This window comes from Homo sapiens, chromosome 18 (assembly GCF_000001405.40).
Source record: "Homo sapiens chromosome 18, GRCh38.p14 Primary Assembly".
NCBI lineage: Eukaryota > Metazoa > Chordata > Mammalia > Primates > Hominidae > Homo > Homo sapiens.
Window position 1 is genome coordinate 52,673,246 of NC_000018.10, and position 21,444 is coordinate 52,694,689.

General features: G+C 37.5%; 1 protein-coding gene across 4 annotated transcripts in view, besides 1 other annotated feature; it reads left to right on the forward strand.

The window, feature by feature from the left end:
- Window positions 1-21,444, forward strand: part of DCC (DCC netrin 1 receptor) — a 1,195,703-nt gene that overhangs the window by 333,049 nt on the left and 841,210 nt on the right. The gene's annotated exons all lie outside the window — the stretch shown is intronic.
- Window positions 8,934-9,435: an enhancer, noted in NCBI's record as "NANOG hESC enhancer chr18:50208549-50209050 (GRCh37/hg19 assembly coordinates)". NCBI's record gives its function as "activates a minimal SCP1, AML or CMV promoter by ChIP-STARR-seq in primed H9 embryonic stem cells {active_cell/tissue: H9 hESC(primed)}" and the evidence as "EXISTENCE:reporter gene assay evidence [ECO:0000049][PMID:30033119]".

The following is a 21,444-nucleotide window of genomic DNA, read 5'->3' on the forward strand; positions in this document are numbered from 1 at the left end:
TTTTCATTTATGTCCACTTTCTGCTTCAAATTGAATCTAGAATGTCACATTTCATTTAGTTGTCATGTTTCCTTAGTCTCATTTGGTTAGTAATACTTTCTCCCTCTTTTCTTGTTTTCCTGACCTTTTGAGGAATACTGGTCAGGGACTTTGGAGAATGTCCCATAATTTAAGATTGTCTGATGTTTGTCTCATGTTTAGACTGAGGTTGTGTTTTTTGAGAAAGAATACCATAGAAAAGTGTCTTTCTTGTAACCTCATAACAGGAAATACATGATAGTCGCATGGTTTGTCACTAGTTTACTCGGATAAGACAGTGTTTGCCAAGTTTCTTCACTATAAATTTTTTCCCTCCTTTTTTCTTGGAAATGAGCCACTAGGTATAGCTCACCCTCAAAGAGGGGAGTAAATAAGGCCTTTTTTGAAACATGGACCTTGATGGTGTAAAGAAGAAAGGATAGATAAAAGCCATTGCCAGGTTTAGATCACATCGCTAATGTTCTTTCACTGAAGACTCAAGTCACAGAAGAGAGAATATTGTCCTCTTGAAAGTAAATAGACCATGATGGGGTAAACTCTTCTACCTTAGGGTTACTCATTTTTAATATTCATAGTTGGTAGTGCCTCCACTAGGTGCTTAGAAGTAGTGGGTTCTGGACTACATGGCTAAGGACTGAGCTTGGCTACAATAGCAATGGGTAGGCCAGCTGAGCATATCTCACCTATGGTCTTTTATACTCAAAGAGGCTAGACTGGGCTTTTTCACATGGCTACCCCAGCTGTCCCCAGTGTGCAAGCCTTGCTTGTTTCACACTTGGTGATATATTATACCATTGACCAAAGGAAGTCATGAATAAGTCCAGATTCAATGCAGGAGACATTGTGTTAATCAGGTTCTCCAAGGAAAGAGAAACTTATAGTGAAGATATTTATTATAAGGTTATTGGCTTGCACAATTGGCTTGAGAAGTTCCACAATTTTCCATTTGCAAGCTGGAGACCAAGCTTGCAAATCTTGGTATAGCTGATGGTATAGATTGCAGTCCAGGTCTGAAGGTCTGAGAACCAGGAATACTAAGGGCAGGAGAACAATGATGTTCCAGCTCAAGCAGGCAGGCAGAAAGAAAATTGAACCTTCTCCTTCCATTTGCTTCTGTTGAAGCCCACAACAGATTGGATGGTGTCTACCCATTTTTGGGAGGGCCATCTGATTTACTTAGTCCACCAATTCCAATGTTAATCTCTTCCAGAAACACCTTCACAGACACACACAGAAATAATGCTCAACTAGATATCTGAAAATCCCATGGCCCAGGCAAGTTGACACATAAAATTTCCCATCACAAGCACAACATATGGAGTGAATACCAAAAAATGTGATTCTCTAAGAAGCCTTCATGTAACAATCTATACATTGGCACAGCGAATAACTAGTTAAGTTGGGAGTAGAACCCAAATAAATCCTACTTTAGTACCATCTCCACTGTAGCATGTTGAAGCAAAGTGTAAACCAAAAATAAAATTCTAAGGCTCCCCCGCCATCTGAACGGACTTTCTCCTCAGCCAGGGCTGTTTTAAAATTTAACCTGAAAGACTGGTTCAGGCCAGGAAAGTGGAAGTCAGACATGCCTCATTTTACCTCTCTGGCATTAACATCAACACAGACTTTTAAGTCTGATAAGAAACATTTTACAGCCTATTCTCTACGAAGCCTACTACCTGGAGGCTGCTTCTGCATGATAAAACTTTGGTCTCCACAAGCTCTTATCACAACCCAGACATTCCTTTCTGTTGATCCCAGATCTTTGTTTGTTTGTCTGTCTGTTTGTTTTGAGATGGAGTCTCCCTGTGTCTCCCAGGCTGGAGTGCAGTGGTGCAATCTCTGCTCACTGCAACTTCCACCTCCCAGGTTCAAGCGATTCTCCTGCCTCAGCCTCCCTAGTAGCTGGGATTACAGGTGAGTGCCACCACACCTGGCTAATTTTTGTATTTTTAGTAGAGACTAAAATTTCACCATGTTGGCCAGGCTTGAACTCCTGACCTCAAGTGATCCAACTGCCTCGGCCTCCCAAAATGCTGGGATTATAAATGTGAGCCACCATGCCCGGCCTAATCCCAGGTCTTTGGATAAACTCAACCAATTGTCAACTAGAAAATTTTAAAATCTGCTCTTTAAGCTGGAAGCCCCCCACACCAACTTCAAGTTGTTCCACCTTCCTGGACCAAATCAACGTATTTCCTAAATATATTTAATTGAAGTCTCATGCCTCCCTAAAATGTGTATAACCAAGCTGCACCCTGACCACCTTGGGTACATAATCTCAGGACCTTCTGAGGACCGTGTCATGGTCCATGGTCCCTCATATTTGGCTCAGGATAAATCTCTTCAAATATTTGACAGAGTTTGACTCTTCATAAACAAAAGAAAGATTGTTTTTGTACTGTGTTTACTAAAGCAGGAGATCCTACTTTTGGATTATATACTCACAACTTGCATATTTTAGGAAGATTTTCGGCAACAAGCGTTGACATAGAAAAAGATTTCTGTTTAGACTTTTACACAATTAGCAAATTCTGTGAACCATATTCTTTCTTGAGCATTTTACTTTTTAACATATTGAATAAGTAAAAGAGGACTAGAATAGGATTCATTGGCCTGCCTCCCATTTCCAGCTCTTTGACTATGTGGGTAGATAACCTTCAGCAAATGATTGATCTTTTCTTGGTGTTAGTTTAATTATCTGTAAAATGAGAATAGTCAATAGTTTTTTGTGATTATTCAACTCTAGAAAGTCCTGTGATATATTCTATTCTTCACATCTTCTCCTTCATCAACTCTTGCTGTTTAGCAAAACAAGCTAGATGTTTAAGTCTAGCTAGATTCAACAATGGAACAGGAAACAGGAAGACTCCACAGAGGCGGAAATGGATTCAAATCCCAGTTCTCTCAGCTAAGAACTTTGGAGTCTCAGGTTTAACCATTCTGAGTATATTTATTTGTTTGTAAGTGGAAATAGTGGTAGTACCTCATAGGGTTTTGAGAGAATTAACTTGAATTGAATGAAGTACTCGGGAAGGCATGCATCATTATAGTAAGTTCCTAATAATGGTGTCTACCACTATTTTTAGGATAAGTACTATTGACAGTAATAGCAAATCAGACAGATTAATTATTTATATCATAATCTGTTAAATTGTATCCTCACATGTAAATGATGTAAATGACTTGTACCCAAAATATCTGACTTATATCTCAGAAATTTTTACAAACAAGTCCTAGCTCCTAAGATATGAGGTTATTTTACTTTTCAAGTGATTAAATTGAGGCCACGACTTGGGAAACATGATATATAATTATTTCCTTAACTTAGAAATCAGTCTTCCTATGAGAGGTCATAGTTCCCAGTGGGTGCACAAGAAAAGGGTCAAGTTGGAACCAGACATCACCCTGTCCCAAGTGCAACGTGAGATCAGCAGGAGCTTGATTATTGATTTTTGTTTCCTTCTTCTCTTGGGTTTGCTTTCTTTTAGGAGCCAGTGGACCTTAATTCACACAGCTTAGGAGGTAAAGCCAGCTCTGCTTTACTTACCCAATGATCTTTTCCTGGAGATCATGTTCCTTTTGTCCTTTTGTCTTGAATTGAAATCACTTGGGGGTTATAAATTTTATCTTTTTAACCAGATAGCAAATGCCTTAAGGATAGAGCAGCATTTTTGATATCTTTGTTTTTTTTCCCCCAAACTACTTCCTGTAGAAACTTGAACATAATAAATCCTCTAATAGTTTTTTAATGTAGCTCAAAGAGCTCTGAGAAATAGTGAAATTCAACAGCAAATACATTCAGCCAACATTTTGTAATAGATGTGGCATAATGCATTTAAATTATGAAACGGGCCTTAATTCTTGTCTCTTAATGCCAAGGTTTTAAATTTCTATCTTTGAATGAATTCTTTAATCATAAATATTGTCCATTCTTTCATCCAGGTGGTATCATCAGAGCTAATACAGAGTGAATTCATTAATGTTAAAACTAACTTTACTCCCTAATTATGAGAAAGTAAGTGTGCATACATTACAAAAAAAGAGAAGTGGTTAAATATTAAAATGCTTGTTCTTGAGGCTGTTGTGAGGCTTAAAAAACTTGAAAAAATTTTCAGGGATCACACAGTAGTAAAAATTACTATAGCAGATTCTATGTTTCATTGTTCTGCCATCCCTGGTTCTGTGATGCTTCTTTTTTTATATATATTTTTTATTATTATTGTTTCTATTGTTATTATTTTGGTTCAACCCATAAATACATTCATCCTGCTCAGTTTTCACAAACTGAACTCATCTCTTACTGGTAAAGAAGGAAGAAATGCCTTTCTTTGGGGAAGAAACTACTGGCAACTTCTCCTAAGACTTGAGGGCAGAATGAGATATCTATGACAGATTTTCCTTTTTTTCCTGTTTCTTGCATTTGCTTTCTGACAAAATAGAGAAGAAAAAAAATTTCTTTCTGAAGAAACTGCCACACTCTGTTGTTTTTGATTTTCCACATGAACGCATTCCATTTAAGCACAGGAGTGTCTCAAAAGGCTGGCTTCTCGTTGAGCAAGTATATTAATACTTTTTCTTCTACAACTTGTAGCCTGATCAACAGCAATTATTTCAGTAGCCATAATACGCCACCATTCTGAAAACAAATAAATCAAATGCTTTTTAAAGTCAAGGGTAAGGCTAAATACAGAACAAACAAAAGGAAGTACTTATTGCGTGTATTACCTTCCAGTGGAAGTGGGTATAAACTACAAAGATGGGCATAAAAGGGTAACAATAATGGAGACACCATGTCAAGCCTTGAATGGACTGTATTCTTGACTATACTGATCAGCCTTTGCCCTTTAGACTGACATCAAAAACTCTGCCCTCCCTCTCAGAGCCCTCAAACTGCCCCAGGCTGCTGGAATCTGTGTGACAGCCTGGCAAGGTTAACGTTAAGAAACACACAAAAGGCAGAAAACAAATAGTGCTGCTGCCGTCTTATTGGTTGGCATACTCCTGGGATGATCTATAATCATTTCTTCAGCTTAGAAATCAGCCTCATGGTCTTTGGGGTAGTATTAAAGCTCCTGAGCCCTGTGGGTTTTGTCCCTTCTATTGTTTATATGCGTTCATTCATTTTGCCATTAATCTTAATAAGGATATAAGATTTACTTTCTTTGTTGTTGCCTTTAAATTTTGAAGAAAATAAAGCAGAACAATGAAAAGAGAACTCTAGCTCGTAAGATTTATTTGCAGGTCAGCTGTGTTAAAATTCTTTCCGCTCGACATGTAAGAAGCTTAAAAAAGTAAATTACTGTCCTTTTTAAAAAATGCTCTAAAGCATTAGTGTAAAAAGGACGTTAGGAGAGAATCATTATCATCTCTGTGTGTTTACAAAGAACACACATGAATATATGCACACACAGTCAGAAAAGTAGTTCTTTAAGAATTCCATGCCACGAAAGATTTAATTAACCTTTTCACTAGGAAACCGGTTCTGGGCACTGCCTTCATTATCCCCTTTCTGTTTCCACCCTAAGAATCTCACACTCTGTTCCTTTCCTCTGTTTTTCTCGCCCCATCCTTTTTGCCCATTCTTTCATCGGTGACTCTATTGTTAAATTTACCAGCTGGTGATAGATTCACATACTCCTCTTCATTTCCGATAGTAACCTCCTCACTTCCACACTTCAACTTTTGCTGTTACCTGCTTGATTGCATTCTCTTTACCTTCAAAAATTTTAATTGAAAAAAGCTATATTGACCTAGGAGTGTAAGTAAAGTCAGTTGAAATGGTTGGTAGTCTACGAGCTTTGAAATATTATTTTTCCACAGGGTATAACAATTTCTCTTATATAAATGTTATTTATGGTAATAGAAGCAAAGGAACTTCACTATAAATAATAACATTTAGTAAGTGGTGATATGAAGGAATGCATTATTATAATTACCATCATAATTTTCCTGTTATTATTTTTAAAATTTTAGATATTAAAAAAGACTTAGGAACACAGGAAGTATGCTCCCCACCAAGCACTAGGAGGCCATTGAAATCACATACAGATCAGCTTTACATTTTTTGATAGTGTGTTCATTCTAAAGCTAACTTTTAGAAATTATTTTGTTGTTGATGATGATGATTTATAGCTGTTTTCCCCGTTTCATTTTATCCTATCTATTGTTAACAGAAAATAAGGGTGTATATTCATATAGCCCCCATCTTTGTAATGCCTGGACATGTTGGTTGCTAGGTAACAGGACACTATGAGGTAAGCAGGCCCATACTGTTTATCTCTGATTGAGCAGAAATGCAGAACCCTCCGCAGGAGAAAAGTCCTCTGAATTTCCTTGCATTTTTGCTGAACCAAACAGAATTATTATTGCATGACAAAGTACCACTTAGCCTTATGAAACTTCCTGGCAGTTTCAGTTTAATCATTGCTGTAAAGAATCTATAAGTCTTTCTTGGTTATTACCACAAAATTGTGTAGCAGGTTTACTTCCCTAAATCAAAACTTTGTTGTCCAGGATTCTGTTCCCTTTTAATCTTTCTAGGTTATTAAAATTTATCACAGCAGTTACCTAAACAGAGGTGTTAGTGTCTGATGTCCTGTATTCTAATAGACTTTTTAAAAAATCATATATTTTGTATAAACAATGCTGTAACTAGAATAAAAGGTCAAATAATCAGATAAAATTGTACGGAATTCCACCACTGGAAAGAAAAAAAACTACTCTTCAAATTTCTTGACTTTTAATTAAAATACATGTATTATGTGGAAGTATTAGGCATCACATCAGGCTTAGAGAGGCGTAGATTCATTCATAAAACATTTTCTGGGTGCCCATTGGGTTCTTGGGACTGAGCAGTGATGTTACAGAAAGCAAGACAGCATCCTGGCCTTACCTGTGAGGAAAAAGCTATAAACAGACAATTACATTATGGCAAACTTTTAAGCAGAGCATAGCGAGAGTGTTTGGGAGCACAGAGGAGGAAGCAACCAACTAGACCTGGGGGAATCAAGAGGCTTTGAGATGCTATATCTTGAACTCCCCAGGAGTTCAACTTTCCAGGAGAAGAAGGCCAGTGATGTTTGCTGGCTCTGCCAGCTAACCTTCCTTGTCCATCATGCAAAGCACTGTTCTGCAGGGAAGCCCTCCTGGATGTCTTATCCCAAATGGAATTCCTTTGTCGTATGTTCTCTCGGTTCCTTGCTCTCTTCCATCAGAGGTCTTATCTCAGTGTTTAATTATATATTAAACAGTGTTATTTAATACCTTAATTGAGATTAATATCTTCTCCACCATTATACCCAGCTCCATCAAGGAAGAGAGGTAGCAGGTGTTACTCACATTATCCCCATGGAACAACACAGTGAATTGCACATAGTGCAAACCCAGTAAATGTTGAATGAATGAGTGAGTAGACTTGCAAATCATGTCATTTAGGTGGCTGCCTTCCCTGCCTTCATAATAGGATGGCCAAGTTTATATTCCCTGTCTTAGATGTTGTTAAAGGAAAAAATCTCTTCTTACACTGCCCTTCCCCATCTAAATTTACCATATAAATTATATAGCTGTTGCCTTTTGCCTAACATAGATAACATGATACAGAACACTTTTAGATGAATGATTTTGTTGGTTAAAACGCAGAAGAAAAATACTGGTTAGTTTTTACATGGGTCCAACTATAATGCCTGAAAACTATAGTGCCTGAAATTCCTTCTGAAACTGTTAGTAAATTACTATTGGTGGTGGGGTCGGCATTTATTAAGTGCTTACTCTATATCAGACTTTATGTTATCCCTTCAATTTATACTATCACATTTTAATTCTACCACAACATGACTTTGATATGCTGTTAGTCCCATTTTACAGAGAAGAATGCAGAAGTCTAGACAAGTCAAATGGTATTTCCTGAGTTCTCAGTTAGTGGGCGGCAGAACTGGATGTCTATTCCAGGTCAGTCTCTCCTCCAAAGCCATTTTTTTCTCACTGTACCCACTCCCTTATCCTCCGTCCATTGCTCTGAATCCTTAGGACACATTTATCTACATATCAACTATTTTTGGAATCCAAATTTGCCAGTTAATTTCCATGCTATCAGGGAGATGATGTGTCAGTTGCAAACACACACCAAAAATTTAAGAATACTCATTAATTTGATTGACAAGAGTGAAATTTCTTATTCTAAATAGGGATAACATTAGGCAAAATTGTTCAAAAGTAGTGGAAATATTGTTTTTATTGATTAATTGGTTGGTTTGGGGAGAAATTATCCTTTGTTTACTCTGAAGTAGGGAGCATTTCTGATTAGTTCCTTTTGTCAACGTATATTAAATATCAAAGGAGCTGCTGCTAATTCTGACTTGGTTTTGGAACTGCCACAGATGGACCCACTGGTAGGAGAGGGGCTTACTGCTAGTTCACTAGTAGAGAATGTAGTACTGGATTGAATTAGAATCAAGTCTTCTTTTCAGTCTGCTTGTTCACTAACACGAGCGCAGACAATGTGAGGAGACCCTCTGTGCCATTCGTAACAGAAAGCAGGGAGAAGTGCCACTTTTGTGTAGCTTCCAACATGAAGATTGACTTTTACAGTTTCTAAATAGAGTTCTTCCCTTCTAAAAAAAATGCTGCAATTATAATAACTTAAATATTACAAGCCCAATTTTATCTCACCTAAATCTAGAGGGTTAATAAATGTTTTCAATGTGGTTTATTCTAGAAGCTTTGAGAATCTGGTCACATAATTTGCACTAAAAGCATTTAGCTTTGTGAAAGCCACACCAAACTTGCCATTATTAACTACATAAATAGAGAGGGCAATTTGCTAATGGGGTTCCATTTATGGCAGTTTATGGATTGCCTAACTTTGCCCAATTAACTCAGGCACTTCCAAATATGAACCGGTCAATGTAAAACACTGAATGGTTTTAATTCAATAGAAAAACACATTACCTATTTGGATGTAAAGAAACAGGAACCTTACATCCCAGTGCCTTTACTCTACAGACCAGGTACTACTGATACAAAGTGGGCAGAGCAACAACGAGAAAAATATCCTGCTGGGATAAAACATGCACTCTAGTGGGAGAAACAAGCAATACTTAGAGAAGGATTTGGAGGAAAATGCATTCCAGGCTTAGGAACAATGGGAAGGAAGGAAACCTGTCACATTCCAGGAACGTGAAGAAGAATAGTGGGCCTGGAGAACCAAGAGCCACCAAATGCTTGTGAGATGAGGCTGGAGAGGCGGGCAGGAACTAGATCATGCAGAGCATTACAGGGAAGTCATACATTCCTTATTTCACTAAACGCCAAGCATCTGCTATGAGGTGCTATTCTGGGATAAAGAAGTGAACAAAGCCAGTGATGTCCTAGGAAGGCAGATAATTAACACGAAGCAGACAAATATAAAATATGTCAGGTAGTGATAAATGTAGTGAAGAAAACAAAACAGACAGAGTGAGGTGGATAATGACTGGGGGAAGGGTTACTAGTTTATAGAGAGTAGTTGGTAGGATAAGGTGGTGTGTACATCAAAATCTAAGGGAAGTGGGCCTCGTTTAAGGGTTTTAGCCTTTCTTCCTAAGAGCAAGTGCTAAGTCATTGAAGGATTTTAAGTGTTGAGGTGACATTATCAGAATACCATCTGACTGGATCATTCAGGCTATAGGATACAAAAGAGACTAAGAAAGAGTAGAAACAGGAAACCATTGAGGGTATTACTGCAGTTTTCTAGAGGGAGATGTGGTGGCTCAGACCACATAGGATACGTGGCTCAGTGTGAATGGATTTCATCACTGAAACTGGTTCTTATTTCCATGTGGTTCTAAGTGCCATTTTTGAAAAAAATTCTGAACTAGGAGTAATGAGGAATGATTGCAAGTCTTTGTCTGTTTGACCTCAAGCCACTTTTCTGCTTTATGCCTTCTCTATGAAAGTAGGTAGTGGTTCCAGGTTTTTCTACTTCTTAAGGCTTTTGAAAAAACAGATATGTAGGAAAGACTTGAAATATGTAAAACTGCTACATCATATAAGGAGTGGGCAGTTGGTATTCTATAATAGGTAGGATGAACACTACTAATCCTGTTTACCAGGCTAGAGAACATGGAGCTCTTTATTCTTCTAAATTTCTAGAGCAAACACAGGGACAATACGAAGGAACCCACAATTCAGATTATTTATTTTTCACTTTAGATAGTATGTGAATGTGATTTAATATTAATTGACATATTGATTGAACTCAACTGACAAAAAGTCTATATTTTAACAATATCTAAACCATGGCCTATTACCAAATGCTAAGTTTAGGTACAGAACTAAGTGTCCAGATCCATTCCCAGGTCTCAGGTTCTGAATCTCTTCATAACCCCTCCAAGAGCTCCCTTTTGAACTCTCAGAGAAGCTTCACTGATGGAAAGGGGAGAAAAGTGAATCTCCAGGCTCCTTCCAATTTGCAATCCCAGTACCTTCCTTTGCATAACCCATAGTTTGGAACATCTCCCTATGCTCAGTCAAGAAAGAAAAAAAGTCTTATGTCTTATGTACATGTACAGTGGGTAAAAACCACGTATGTACTGTTGGTAAAAGCACACAGCTCCAGGTGAAGAAACAACCAATGGAATCCTCGTATGCAAATCATATGGATGCATTTGAATAAAATTGAACCATTATCTTAGGAACCTCTAGTTTCCAAGTTGATATGAAACATATATAATCCTTGTCTGTACCATATTATTTTGCTTCTAACAGGAGTTATACCATCCATGTGTTTATTTCCATGACGCTTAAAAACGATAAGCCAAAACAGTTCATTTTTCTTTGTTTTGTCCATAGGTGTTCTTCCAATTACCTCTGCCCATTTATTAAAATATACATTTTGGACATGTGGGTTTATTCACTTTGTGGTGAGGTTATATTCTGTGGATATCTGACCTTTGTTAATCATTGTGTGGCCAAATGAAATCAAACACATGCATTGAAGCAGTGAATAAGTCGTGGGGTTAGCGAGTTTGATGGAATCACAACCAGCAATTTAAAAATGTGACTGAATTTTTCCCACAATTAAAATCTTTCATTATGCTACTTCAAAGCTAATTTCTTTCTTGTTTTTTTTTTTCTGAATAGTTGCTTCCATTAATCTCACTCTAGGTAATGATGGTAATGATACAATTATATGTAATCATTGCCTGAATTCAATATGCAACACATCAGTCCCTTTGTGTGGTGATCGTACACTCTCTGCAGTCCTGGGATTTGGAAAGTTTCCATCATGTTATGCCAAGATCAGATTCAAAAGTCTCTGACATTTTGCATAACATCAGTCAGTCGTGTGTTCCAACTGTCCCTTTTAGTGATTGGGCAAACTCATCCATCTGACTGCTGCTGGTGGAAGCTAGGGATGAAGGCATGAAGCAAGATAAGCTGGACTGGCCTTTTACATAGTTTCCAAAACACTTAAAATATTCAGAAAAAAAAATTAGGAGCAAGAATTTGTAAAGGATCTTCAAGTGTACAGGTGGCTAATCCGCTTAAACTACTAATGACACAAATCATAGTCTAAGTGAACTTATGTTTTTATGCAAAGTTAATATTTATTTTAAAAGTTTAAATCTGTTTTTCTAATATTTATAGCTAATCTTACCAGTGGTTATCATTCAGGATGAATCTGTTTCTCAAAATCCTGATAGGTAGATGTGTGCTTCCAATTCCTATTTTTTTTACCACTATGCAGATGCCATTTTGATTCTTATGTTCCAAAGACAGATTTTGTTCCACACACTTACTTATTCAAATTAGTTCAATTAAGGAATAATATTGTCTGTATGTTCCAACACAATAGAATTGAACATGTTCATGTCTTCTAAGAATTAAATAATAAACTATGCAGGTAGCATTAAGATAGTAGCTTATCTTATGCTTAAATTTTTTTCTTTGCCTTTCCCATTTTGTTTCCTTCTTAGAATACATTGGAGGGCTTTCTTGGTCTCTGGTAAATATTTACAATTCATAATTTTACTCTGGCCTGTTAATTTGATTTATTGATCATTTCTCTTTAAAGGACAATGTCAACACAAGAGTGAGGCATGGGTTGCAGTGGGTGGAATGACAGTCATATTGAGCCCTGCTATGTTTTGGATATGGTTTGTCCCCATCAAAACTCATGTTGAAATTTTGATTCCCAGTTATGACAATGTTGGAAGGTGGGGCCTAGTGGGAGGTGTTTGGGGGTGGTACCTCATGGAATGAGTAATGCCCTCTCTCAGGAGTGAGTAACTTCTCGTTGTGGCAGGAATGGATGAGGTCCTGAGACAGCAGGTTGTTAAAAAGAGTCTGACTTTGTCAGTTTCTCTCTCTTGCTTCCTCTCTGGCCATGGGAAATAGCATAATAGTGTTTGTTTTCTCCACTCTCCCATCTCCCTCTCTTCCTTTCTCTGTTGTCCACTTCTTAAATATATACTGTTCAAGTACTATTATATTTTCAAATCACGATCTGATAAGGTGGAAGGGATTCAAGGTAAATTAGAAAAGCTCCCTGTATTCACATTCACAGAGCCCCTTCTACTCCTGGGAAGAGATAAGATATGCACTTGGTCACTACTAAAAAGTAGGAAGCACTGTATTATATTAGAAAGATTCTTATATGGGAGTAAACAAAATCCAAGCCTTCTCCTCAAGGGCTAACTGGATGTTCCTGTATCAACATCAATATTGAAGACAATTCTGCTTCAATGTAAAGGGGTACAGGACAGTCTACTGTGACCTACACTCAGAGGGTCTTTGATGTCCACACTGTCAATGTTATACAACCGAGCTATTCCTCAAATCTTAGGAATTCTACTTCTGAGGCTTCCTCTGGCACTCTCTTTCACTTCCTTCAGAATATGATGGCAGTGCATGCTGATCTCCTCATTTCCATCCTTCTTGATGGTCAGGGCACACTTAACACTTACTCCTGTTAGGTTATTCAGCCAACTGGCCACATATCATTGTGGCTACACGTAATAGGGCATTTTCACATAGCTCACCAGAATCCCTTTTAGGCCAGCCTACCTCTGTTCCAACAGAACTCTACATGACTGGCTAAGCCCTTATAGCATATCAAGTCTGAGCTTCGAAAGGATTTTCCTAGTTTGGGGGCACTGCTCAATTTCCCTTTGTTTACCAAAGAAACACAACAGTATCTGGCAGTATTTGATTAGTCCACCTGTGGTTTTTGGAATTGAGGTAATGTTACCCCTACTTTGTCAGCCCACACTTCCCAAAACAGTGTCCAAAACCCAGAAACACCAAATTAAGATCCCATCACCATCCATAAGATTCAGAACCCCATTAGATCCACAAATTATTATGGACAATTTCTATTTCTTGTGAACTGTGCAAAAGTTTCTTGAGGAGCACAAATCAATTGAGCATGATCCATGAGCTCCTTTGCATATCACCCTAAGAATGCCATGAGCTTACATGGGGTGGATTTAAGAGGGTTGGAGATAAATCAACTAGTATCCAGGGCTGAGGTCTTAACAGGAATCCTCCTCACTGAGAGCTTGCCTTGATCATATTTCTGCCAATCCCTCAGTCCTTCTCTACAATTTCCCCTTGACAGCATGAAAACATGGGCTGATCTGTGTATTCTGACTTGATGTCATTCTTGTCACACCCAGAACACAGATCATCTTTTCCCACTCCCATATTCTTCCAGGATCCTTTTCCATGGTAGTTCTACTCCTTAGGTTGATCATCATCTTCTTTCACTCTTCCCAACTACAGAGTGTAATTAATCTAGCCACTTACTGGGACCCACATCTCCTGACCCTCCCCCATAACCTTTACTCTTTAAATGAATATACTGCTCAAACCTATTCCAAAAATTGAGTGTAGCAAAGACTTCAATTTAGTCTGATTTGCCCAAACAATATGGATACATCTTGAATCACTCTTTTGGAACATTAGCTAAATATTTTTTAAAGGCTAGGCTAGTCGTTAGCTAACTTTTTCTTTTTCCTTTTTTTTTTTTTTTTTTGAGAGTAAGTCTTGCTCTTGTCCCCCAGGCTGGAGTGTGATGGTGTGGTCTCAGCTCACTGCAACCTCCACTTCCCAGGTTCAAGCAATTCTCCTGCCTCAGCCTCCTGAGTAGCTGGTATTACAGGCACCTGCCACCATGCCCAGCTAATTTTTGTATTTTTAGTAAAGACAAGGTTTCACCATGTTGGCCAGGCCGGTCTCAATCTCCTGACCTCAGGTGATCCGCCCACCTTGGCCTCCCAAAGTGCTCCCAAAGTGTAGCTAACTATTTTTAAAGTGTGTAGATACTTTTGCAAATAAATGTAGTTAACGTATATACATACAATTTAAAAATGTATACTCAGACTATTTCTCAATATTGTGGGCTGTTAGCAAGCAGAATTATTTTAAAAAGCAAGTTTTAAAACTCAAAGCCAAATATTGTTACTAAAATGTTTCATGGGAATTGGCAGTGGTACCTAGAGTTTTAATGCCTTTACAAACCAAGAGTGTATAGGTATTGTGGATGGAACATGTGACTGTTCAAGGGAAACCTGACAAACCATACTAACAATGGATTATTGCACTCAAAGAAAGATGGGAAACAAAAGAATCCAGAGAACAGTGCTTTTGTTTTCACGACCCTTCAGTTGTCTTTGACTGTTCTTTCTTTTGGCTTTTCTGCTTTGTAAGAGTCTTTGATTCAAGGCTGTTTCATGATCCACTGAACTATAAGGAAACCATGGGTCTAAATTGCCCACTATTTCCTTTAGTGCACTGTTAGATGTAGTCAGTCCTGGGAACTTGTTTAATAAAGGAGTTTTGAAAATGTTCAGGGATCTTCTTTTTTTTTTTTTTGGTATATTGTATAATTAACAATGACTTTTGCCTTGAGGTCAACATACTTCCAATTTTTCCTAAATAAATATTTACTGAAAAGTGTAGATGTGCTGTAGGCACAGCTAGTGTGAACTAAGCTCTGAGCTAAATGACTTAGGCACATCATTGTAATTTTCCCAGTAACTCTGAAAAGCCAATAGCAATATTTTAATTTTATAGACAAGAATATGGAAGCTTGGAGTGATTGCAGTTTGTCATATGTTTATGTTAGAATTTGACTTACCCAGGTATGTGTGACTCTAAATCCAAATTATTTTTAAGACCTTAGGCTCTTTCAGGTCTTTTATCTAAAAATGCTACAAAAAGAAGGAAATGGGGAGATGTAGATAAAGATTTAAAGTAGCAGATATGTAGGATAAGCAAGTCTAGGCATCTGATGCACAACATGAGGACTATAGGTAATAACAGTGCCCTATATATGAGATTAATGCTAAATGAGTAGGTTTTAGCTGCCCTTGTCACTAAAATAAACAAAAAAAGGGTAACTGTATGAAATGATGGAGATCTTCATTTGCTTCACTATAGTAATATTTTTACTATTTTTATGTATTTTATACCATCACATGTTATACCTTAAGTATATACAATTAAAAGTTATTTAAAATATAAAAATAAAACATAAAGAATGCTGCAAATAACAGTAGCTCTTTTTTGTAGTTATAAAAAGATATGGATATTTAACATTCCCATTGCTAAGCTTCCACACTAAGCAACAGTAACTTATTAATATTACCCAGTAAATCCTAAGTACAGAAAAGATTAAGGCATTGTGCATTTATTTTTATTAAAATAATTTATGTAAGTTTTAATTCAAATTAGGCTCAGCTTTAGGCACCTAGAATATTAATTCAGAAAGTAGCCTTATTAGATTAGCTTCAAATGCACAGAATTTTGGTCAAGGACATTGAAGTAAACATTTTATCTTTATTAGCCATCAATTGGCAAGCATTTATTGAGTACCTTCTAAGCACTGGGGAGGAGCTTGGACCTGAAAGAAATTTCCATCTGTTGGAGCCATATGACTAAATCACACGAAACAACTTGAGAAAGAAGCAAGAAAGTTCATAATTAAGTGCTAATTTGCTGTAGAAATTCAGGGAAGCAGTAGGTTATTGAAAGCATCAGGATTCAAGAAAAATGTCATGGAAGACATTTCATTTTAGGTAGCCTTCAAAAGATATGGGGCAGCTTTGGGTAATTGGAGAAGCATGAAAAATTCATAAGAAATAATGAGTAGAAAGACTTGTGTTGGGAAGTAATGAATGAGGTTGGATAAATTGACGCATCAGGTTCCAGAGAATACTTATAATAAGTTGTCTGTTTTCCTGCATAGACTGTCAGCTGAGTAAGGCTAGGGACCCTATGCTTCTTCCTCATCTGTGTCTTCAAGCGCAGTGCCTAGCATGGTATAGGAGCTTAATAAATACAGGGTAGCTCCTCAGTATATAAAGGCAGATGAATCTGGATTTGATGTAGTAGGAAATAGAAAATGCAAATTAGAAAATATAGAAATAAATAGCTATCTGATTTCAGTGAGCATAGTTGTTAATATTACTGGTCTCATGTTGCTGAAAAGACTCTTAATTTGGGGTAAAATTTCCTTCAATCACTTATGTATGCATAATAATGGAGGTGAGGAGATAATGGGCCATGATTGGATAGTAGAAAAGTTACTTTCTCTTAGCTGCAGACTCACATAAATGCTAGTGATTTGTTTGCATTTGCACTCCTGAGCACACTTCAACAGAAGTGAAGTCGAATCTATTTTGACTAGAAGAAGAACAAAAGCCCTGAGTGGAAAGTGTATTAAAGATAAATGTGACATATTCATTCAGTCAGTCAGCTGAAGTTGAGAAGAAGATCCACAAGCTCAGTCAAGCCTTCAAATGACTGTAGCCCAGACTGACAGCTTGACAGCAGCCTCAGGAGAGACCATGAGGGAGAAGTACTGGGCTAAGCTGTATTTAGATCCCTGGCCTTCATAGACTGTGAGCTAACACACGTTTGCCGCTTTAAGTCAGTCAACACATCTGACTGGAAGGCACTGAGTGCTCAACACTGTGGGGATATAGAGAAAAGCCTTGGCTTCTGCCCTTAAGGAACTCAGCTGGGTGCAGAAAAAGACACATATGTACAAACACATACTGTAAGAGGCAACCGGAAGAGGATTGAGGGCAGTAGAGGCTTCACAGCAGAGGTGACATTTGAGTTAGGTTTTGAAAGATGAGCATGCTTTGCACAGGTAAAGAGGTTTGGGTATCCTGCATTAACTGTTCTACTTTGTTGAGGATATTGACAAAATTACAGAAATGAAATAGTTGAAAAATAAGGCTAATAGTAATTACAACAACAATAATAAAATACATTTACTTCATGGTTTTAACAGTATTTCCATATACATTAATTCATTTGATCCACACAAGAACCAAAGGAGATTGGCTGAGCAGTTATTGTTGTACCCATTTTGTCAGTAGGGAATCTAAGGTTCAGAGAGACCAAGTGGCGTGTCCAAAATAATGATTCTGCTTTATGGAAACAAATACAAAGTATAAATCAATGTATAAAATGAAATGACCTTAATAAAAACCATGCTAGAAGAGGTCAGAAGGAAGTGAAATCAATTCTGTAGAAATTTTGAATAAAAACTGCATATGGTGTGAGTGATGCATTTGTCACAAAGGCTGGGTGTTTTGTCTCAAGGGGCTTCTCGGGTAGGTGAATTTACTGGTGTCAGAAGTCAGGTGCTCAGCTTTGTAAGCTCTCAAACCTGACTTAGTCAGCATATACGAAGGTCTGCCTCTCCAGGGAATAGTCATATTATTAATAGCAAAGTGCATAGACGGATTTATTAATTTGCAATGAGAAATGTCACTGCCATGTACCCCAGAATATTCTGTTGGCACAGCTAGTACACTCATTCCCTGTAGGCAGATATTTGAGGGAAGCTCTATTGTAGTGAAAGAGAAAGCTGTTGTTGCCCATAGACTCATACCTGAGAGTTGGCTAGATACATTTAAGAGGTGTTTCTTGGCTTAGAGGTGGGATGGGGAGATTCAAGCACTTTTTCCTGTGTTTAGAGATCACCCTGCAGGAACATCAGTGCCCTGGCCAAGGCTCACTTGTCCCCCAACATAAGTTTGCTTCTATGACCCTCTGTATTAGTTTCCTAGGGTAGCAAAATACCAAAAACTAGGTGACTTGAAACAGCAGGAATTTATTCTCTCACAGTTCTGGAAGGTAGAAATTTGAGATCAAGGTGTCAGTAGGGCCACACTCCTTCTGGAGGCTTTAGAGAAGAATCCTGTTTTGTCTCCTCCAGATTCTGGTGATTTTGGCAGTCTTTGTCATTCCTTGGCTTGTAGCTACATCACTCCAATCTCTGGCTTAATCTCAGGGGGGCTTCTTCCCTCTGTGTGTGTCCTCTCTTCTTTCAAGGACACCAGTCATTGGGTTCAGTGCCCACTGTAATCCAGGATGACCTAGTTTTAACTTAATTACATTTGCAAAGACTCTGTCTCCAAATAAGTTTATATTCACAGGTACTGAAGATTAGAATGTAGAAACACCATTGTACGGGGCACAGTTTAACTCACCACATGCTTTCTTCCCATGCTTCCATTATTGATCAACCTCACTCCCACCCTATCCTGGGTAGACCCATTCTGCACTCAAATGTTAATTTGACCTGAAAACCTCTTTGCTTATAACTGACCTGGCTTTTTATATCAATGACTTCAGGGAAAAAGAGAGTAACAGAAGTTAGAACAGTATTCCCCTAAATAACTTGGTTTTTATTTATTTTTGTTTCCAAATGCCAAATCTTTCCTCTATTTCTAAACCTACAGATGGAAAATCTCTGCAATCACTACTCTATTAAGAATCCACTGTTAGTGATGTGAGCTTGTGGGGATTGATAATAGTTTGAGAAGCAACCTCAGGGTTGGGAGGAGGGAAACTTAGGAGGTGGGCTTTGGCCCTCCCTCAACCCACCCAAACTAAAAACAGTAATGATATTCTTTGACAGGGTAATGCTGTTTTATTTTTCAATCTTCTGTCAAATGGAAACAAAAGGATCTTTGCCAAGTATTTTACTTTTTATGTACAATACAAATTGCTACAAATCAAACTTTAAGGGAAGCTTCCCAGCACTCCCTTCTCACCAGATTAGTACCTCCTAAACCTCTGCCCTATAGACATTCTGCCACCTTCTGTTGTTTAATCACTGCATTCTGAACTGATTTGTAGTCTCTCTCTGTATTTTATTTTATTTTATTTTGATACAGTCTCACTCTGTTGCTCAGGTTGGAGTGCAGTGATGCAGTCTCTGCTCACTGCAATCTCTGTCTCCTGGGTTCAAGTGATTCTTAGCTTCCCAAGTAGCTGGGATTACAGGTGTGCACCACCATGCCCAGTTAATTTTTTGTATTTTAGTAGAGAGAGGGTTTCACTATATTGACCACGCTGGTCTTGAACTCCTGGCCTCAAGTGATCCTCCTGCCTTGGTCTCCCAAAGAATTGGGATTAGCAGCGTGAGCCACCACACCTGGCCAGCTTCTCTTTTAGAGGCTGTTTTTATTTACAACATTTCTAAATTCATGGTGGGAGGGTACCTATAGTTATACCATTTATTAAAGTGAGAAAATATTCATGTGAGGAAATCAGATATTACCAAGTATAAAACAATACAATTATAAAAAATGAGAGGCAAGACATAATAAGCATGGCTGAAGAAAAAGTACAGTCATTAGAAAGAAATGTACCCTTTAAGAACAGTCCTCTGATATAGAAGCCAGGAGAGTTTGCCACTCCTATAGGCTGTGACCTTGTTCACGTGACTTTCCCTCTCTCCTCAACCTGCTTTTCTCTAAAAGGAGGTATTGATAAGTTAATGGCTGGTGTGTGGGGAGTCAGATTTCTTAACGTTAGGGAAGTTACAGATAACTACAAGGCAAATCAAAAGAACCCTGGGGTATTGGATTTGAGTCAGAGACATTAGTGTGAGCTTTTATCAGTTTAATATATATTCAGAAATAATTGTGCATGTGTGTACACATGGGCAGTTATACATATATAGATTTGTATGTGTATATATATTTAATACATACACATTATATATTAAGTGTATATATTACAATATCTAAATATTATATGCTATAAAAATATAAAAATATAGGTAGAATATATAACTATATATTGTATATAAATATATATCATATATAATATATATTTTATATAATATTTACATATAAAATATATGGGATATATATCTTTATATCTATGTGTCTGTATATATAATATAATATAATATAACATAATACAATACAATATAACATATATCCCAGCTTTTCCATTGAGAGAGACTAGAAGCAGTGATGTTCCAGTAGCAACAAGTATATCCAATGCCTCAATTTTGGTTTTTAAATACCATTCTCTAGTAAAAGGGATATTGGCTCCTTGGAGAAATAACTGACTCTAAAACTGGGTTAGAGAAAGTATGAGATGAGCCAAGAGCATCCTGTAGTCCCAGAGAGCCAGGGACTGCTCAAAACAAAAAAATGCCAAAGGTACCCTGGAGACAATATGAAAGAGCTCCCAATTGTCAGAGCTGAAACAAATCTGAGCAACAAAATAGGATGGGATTGGATTACAATTCACAATATAAAATAAATATACATGAGTACGTGCTGATATAAACAATTGAATAAATGAACAAATGGGGAAGAAGTCATAAATCTTTCTTATAGATATATTCCAAATAATATAAGTGTGGGCAGGACTTAGTGACTCATATGCAAACAATAGAGCATGGAAAGGGGATAAAACAGTAACAGAACACCCCAGAAGCCACTGGCTTGATCAGTGATCAAGGTTAACATCACTAGTAACAAGTCATGTTAATAGCATGTCCCCCAGTATGATATGATGAGGAGAACACTTCACTTCTATGGAGTTCTTCCCAAAAACCTGTATCTCCTGCCTGATATGAGAAAAAGGTGAACAAATCCACACTAAGGGACATTTTGCAAAACGCCTGGCCAGTACTCCCCAAACTGTCAAGGTGGTGAAAAAGCAAGACTGAGAAACCATCACAGTCCAGTGGAGACTAAAAAGATATGATGATGGGATGCAATGTGTGATTCCTGATTAGATCCTGAGGAAACAATAGGACATTAGTGTAAAAAACTGGTGTAAAAAAATGTTGAAATCCAATAAAAATCTGAATTTCAGTTAGTAGTAAAAAAATAATAATAAAGGAAGGTGTTGGTCCAAATGGCTCAGTCCCTTCCGGTATAGGATTCCACACTGTTCTATAACCCAGCAGGGTCTCAAAGGAAGTGTTGTACGCAAGGACCCAGTGTTATTCTTTCTAATTTATTTTATATTTTTAAAATGCTTCTTTTTACATATACTTCTTTTTACATTCTTAAAAATATAGGGAGTTGCAGCAGGCTTTGCTGCAGATAAAGGGACCATGGACACCCTGCCACCAGTTACAGCAAGAAGAAG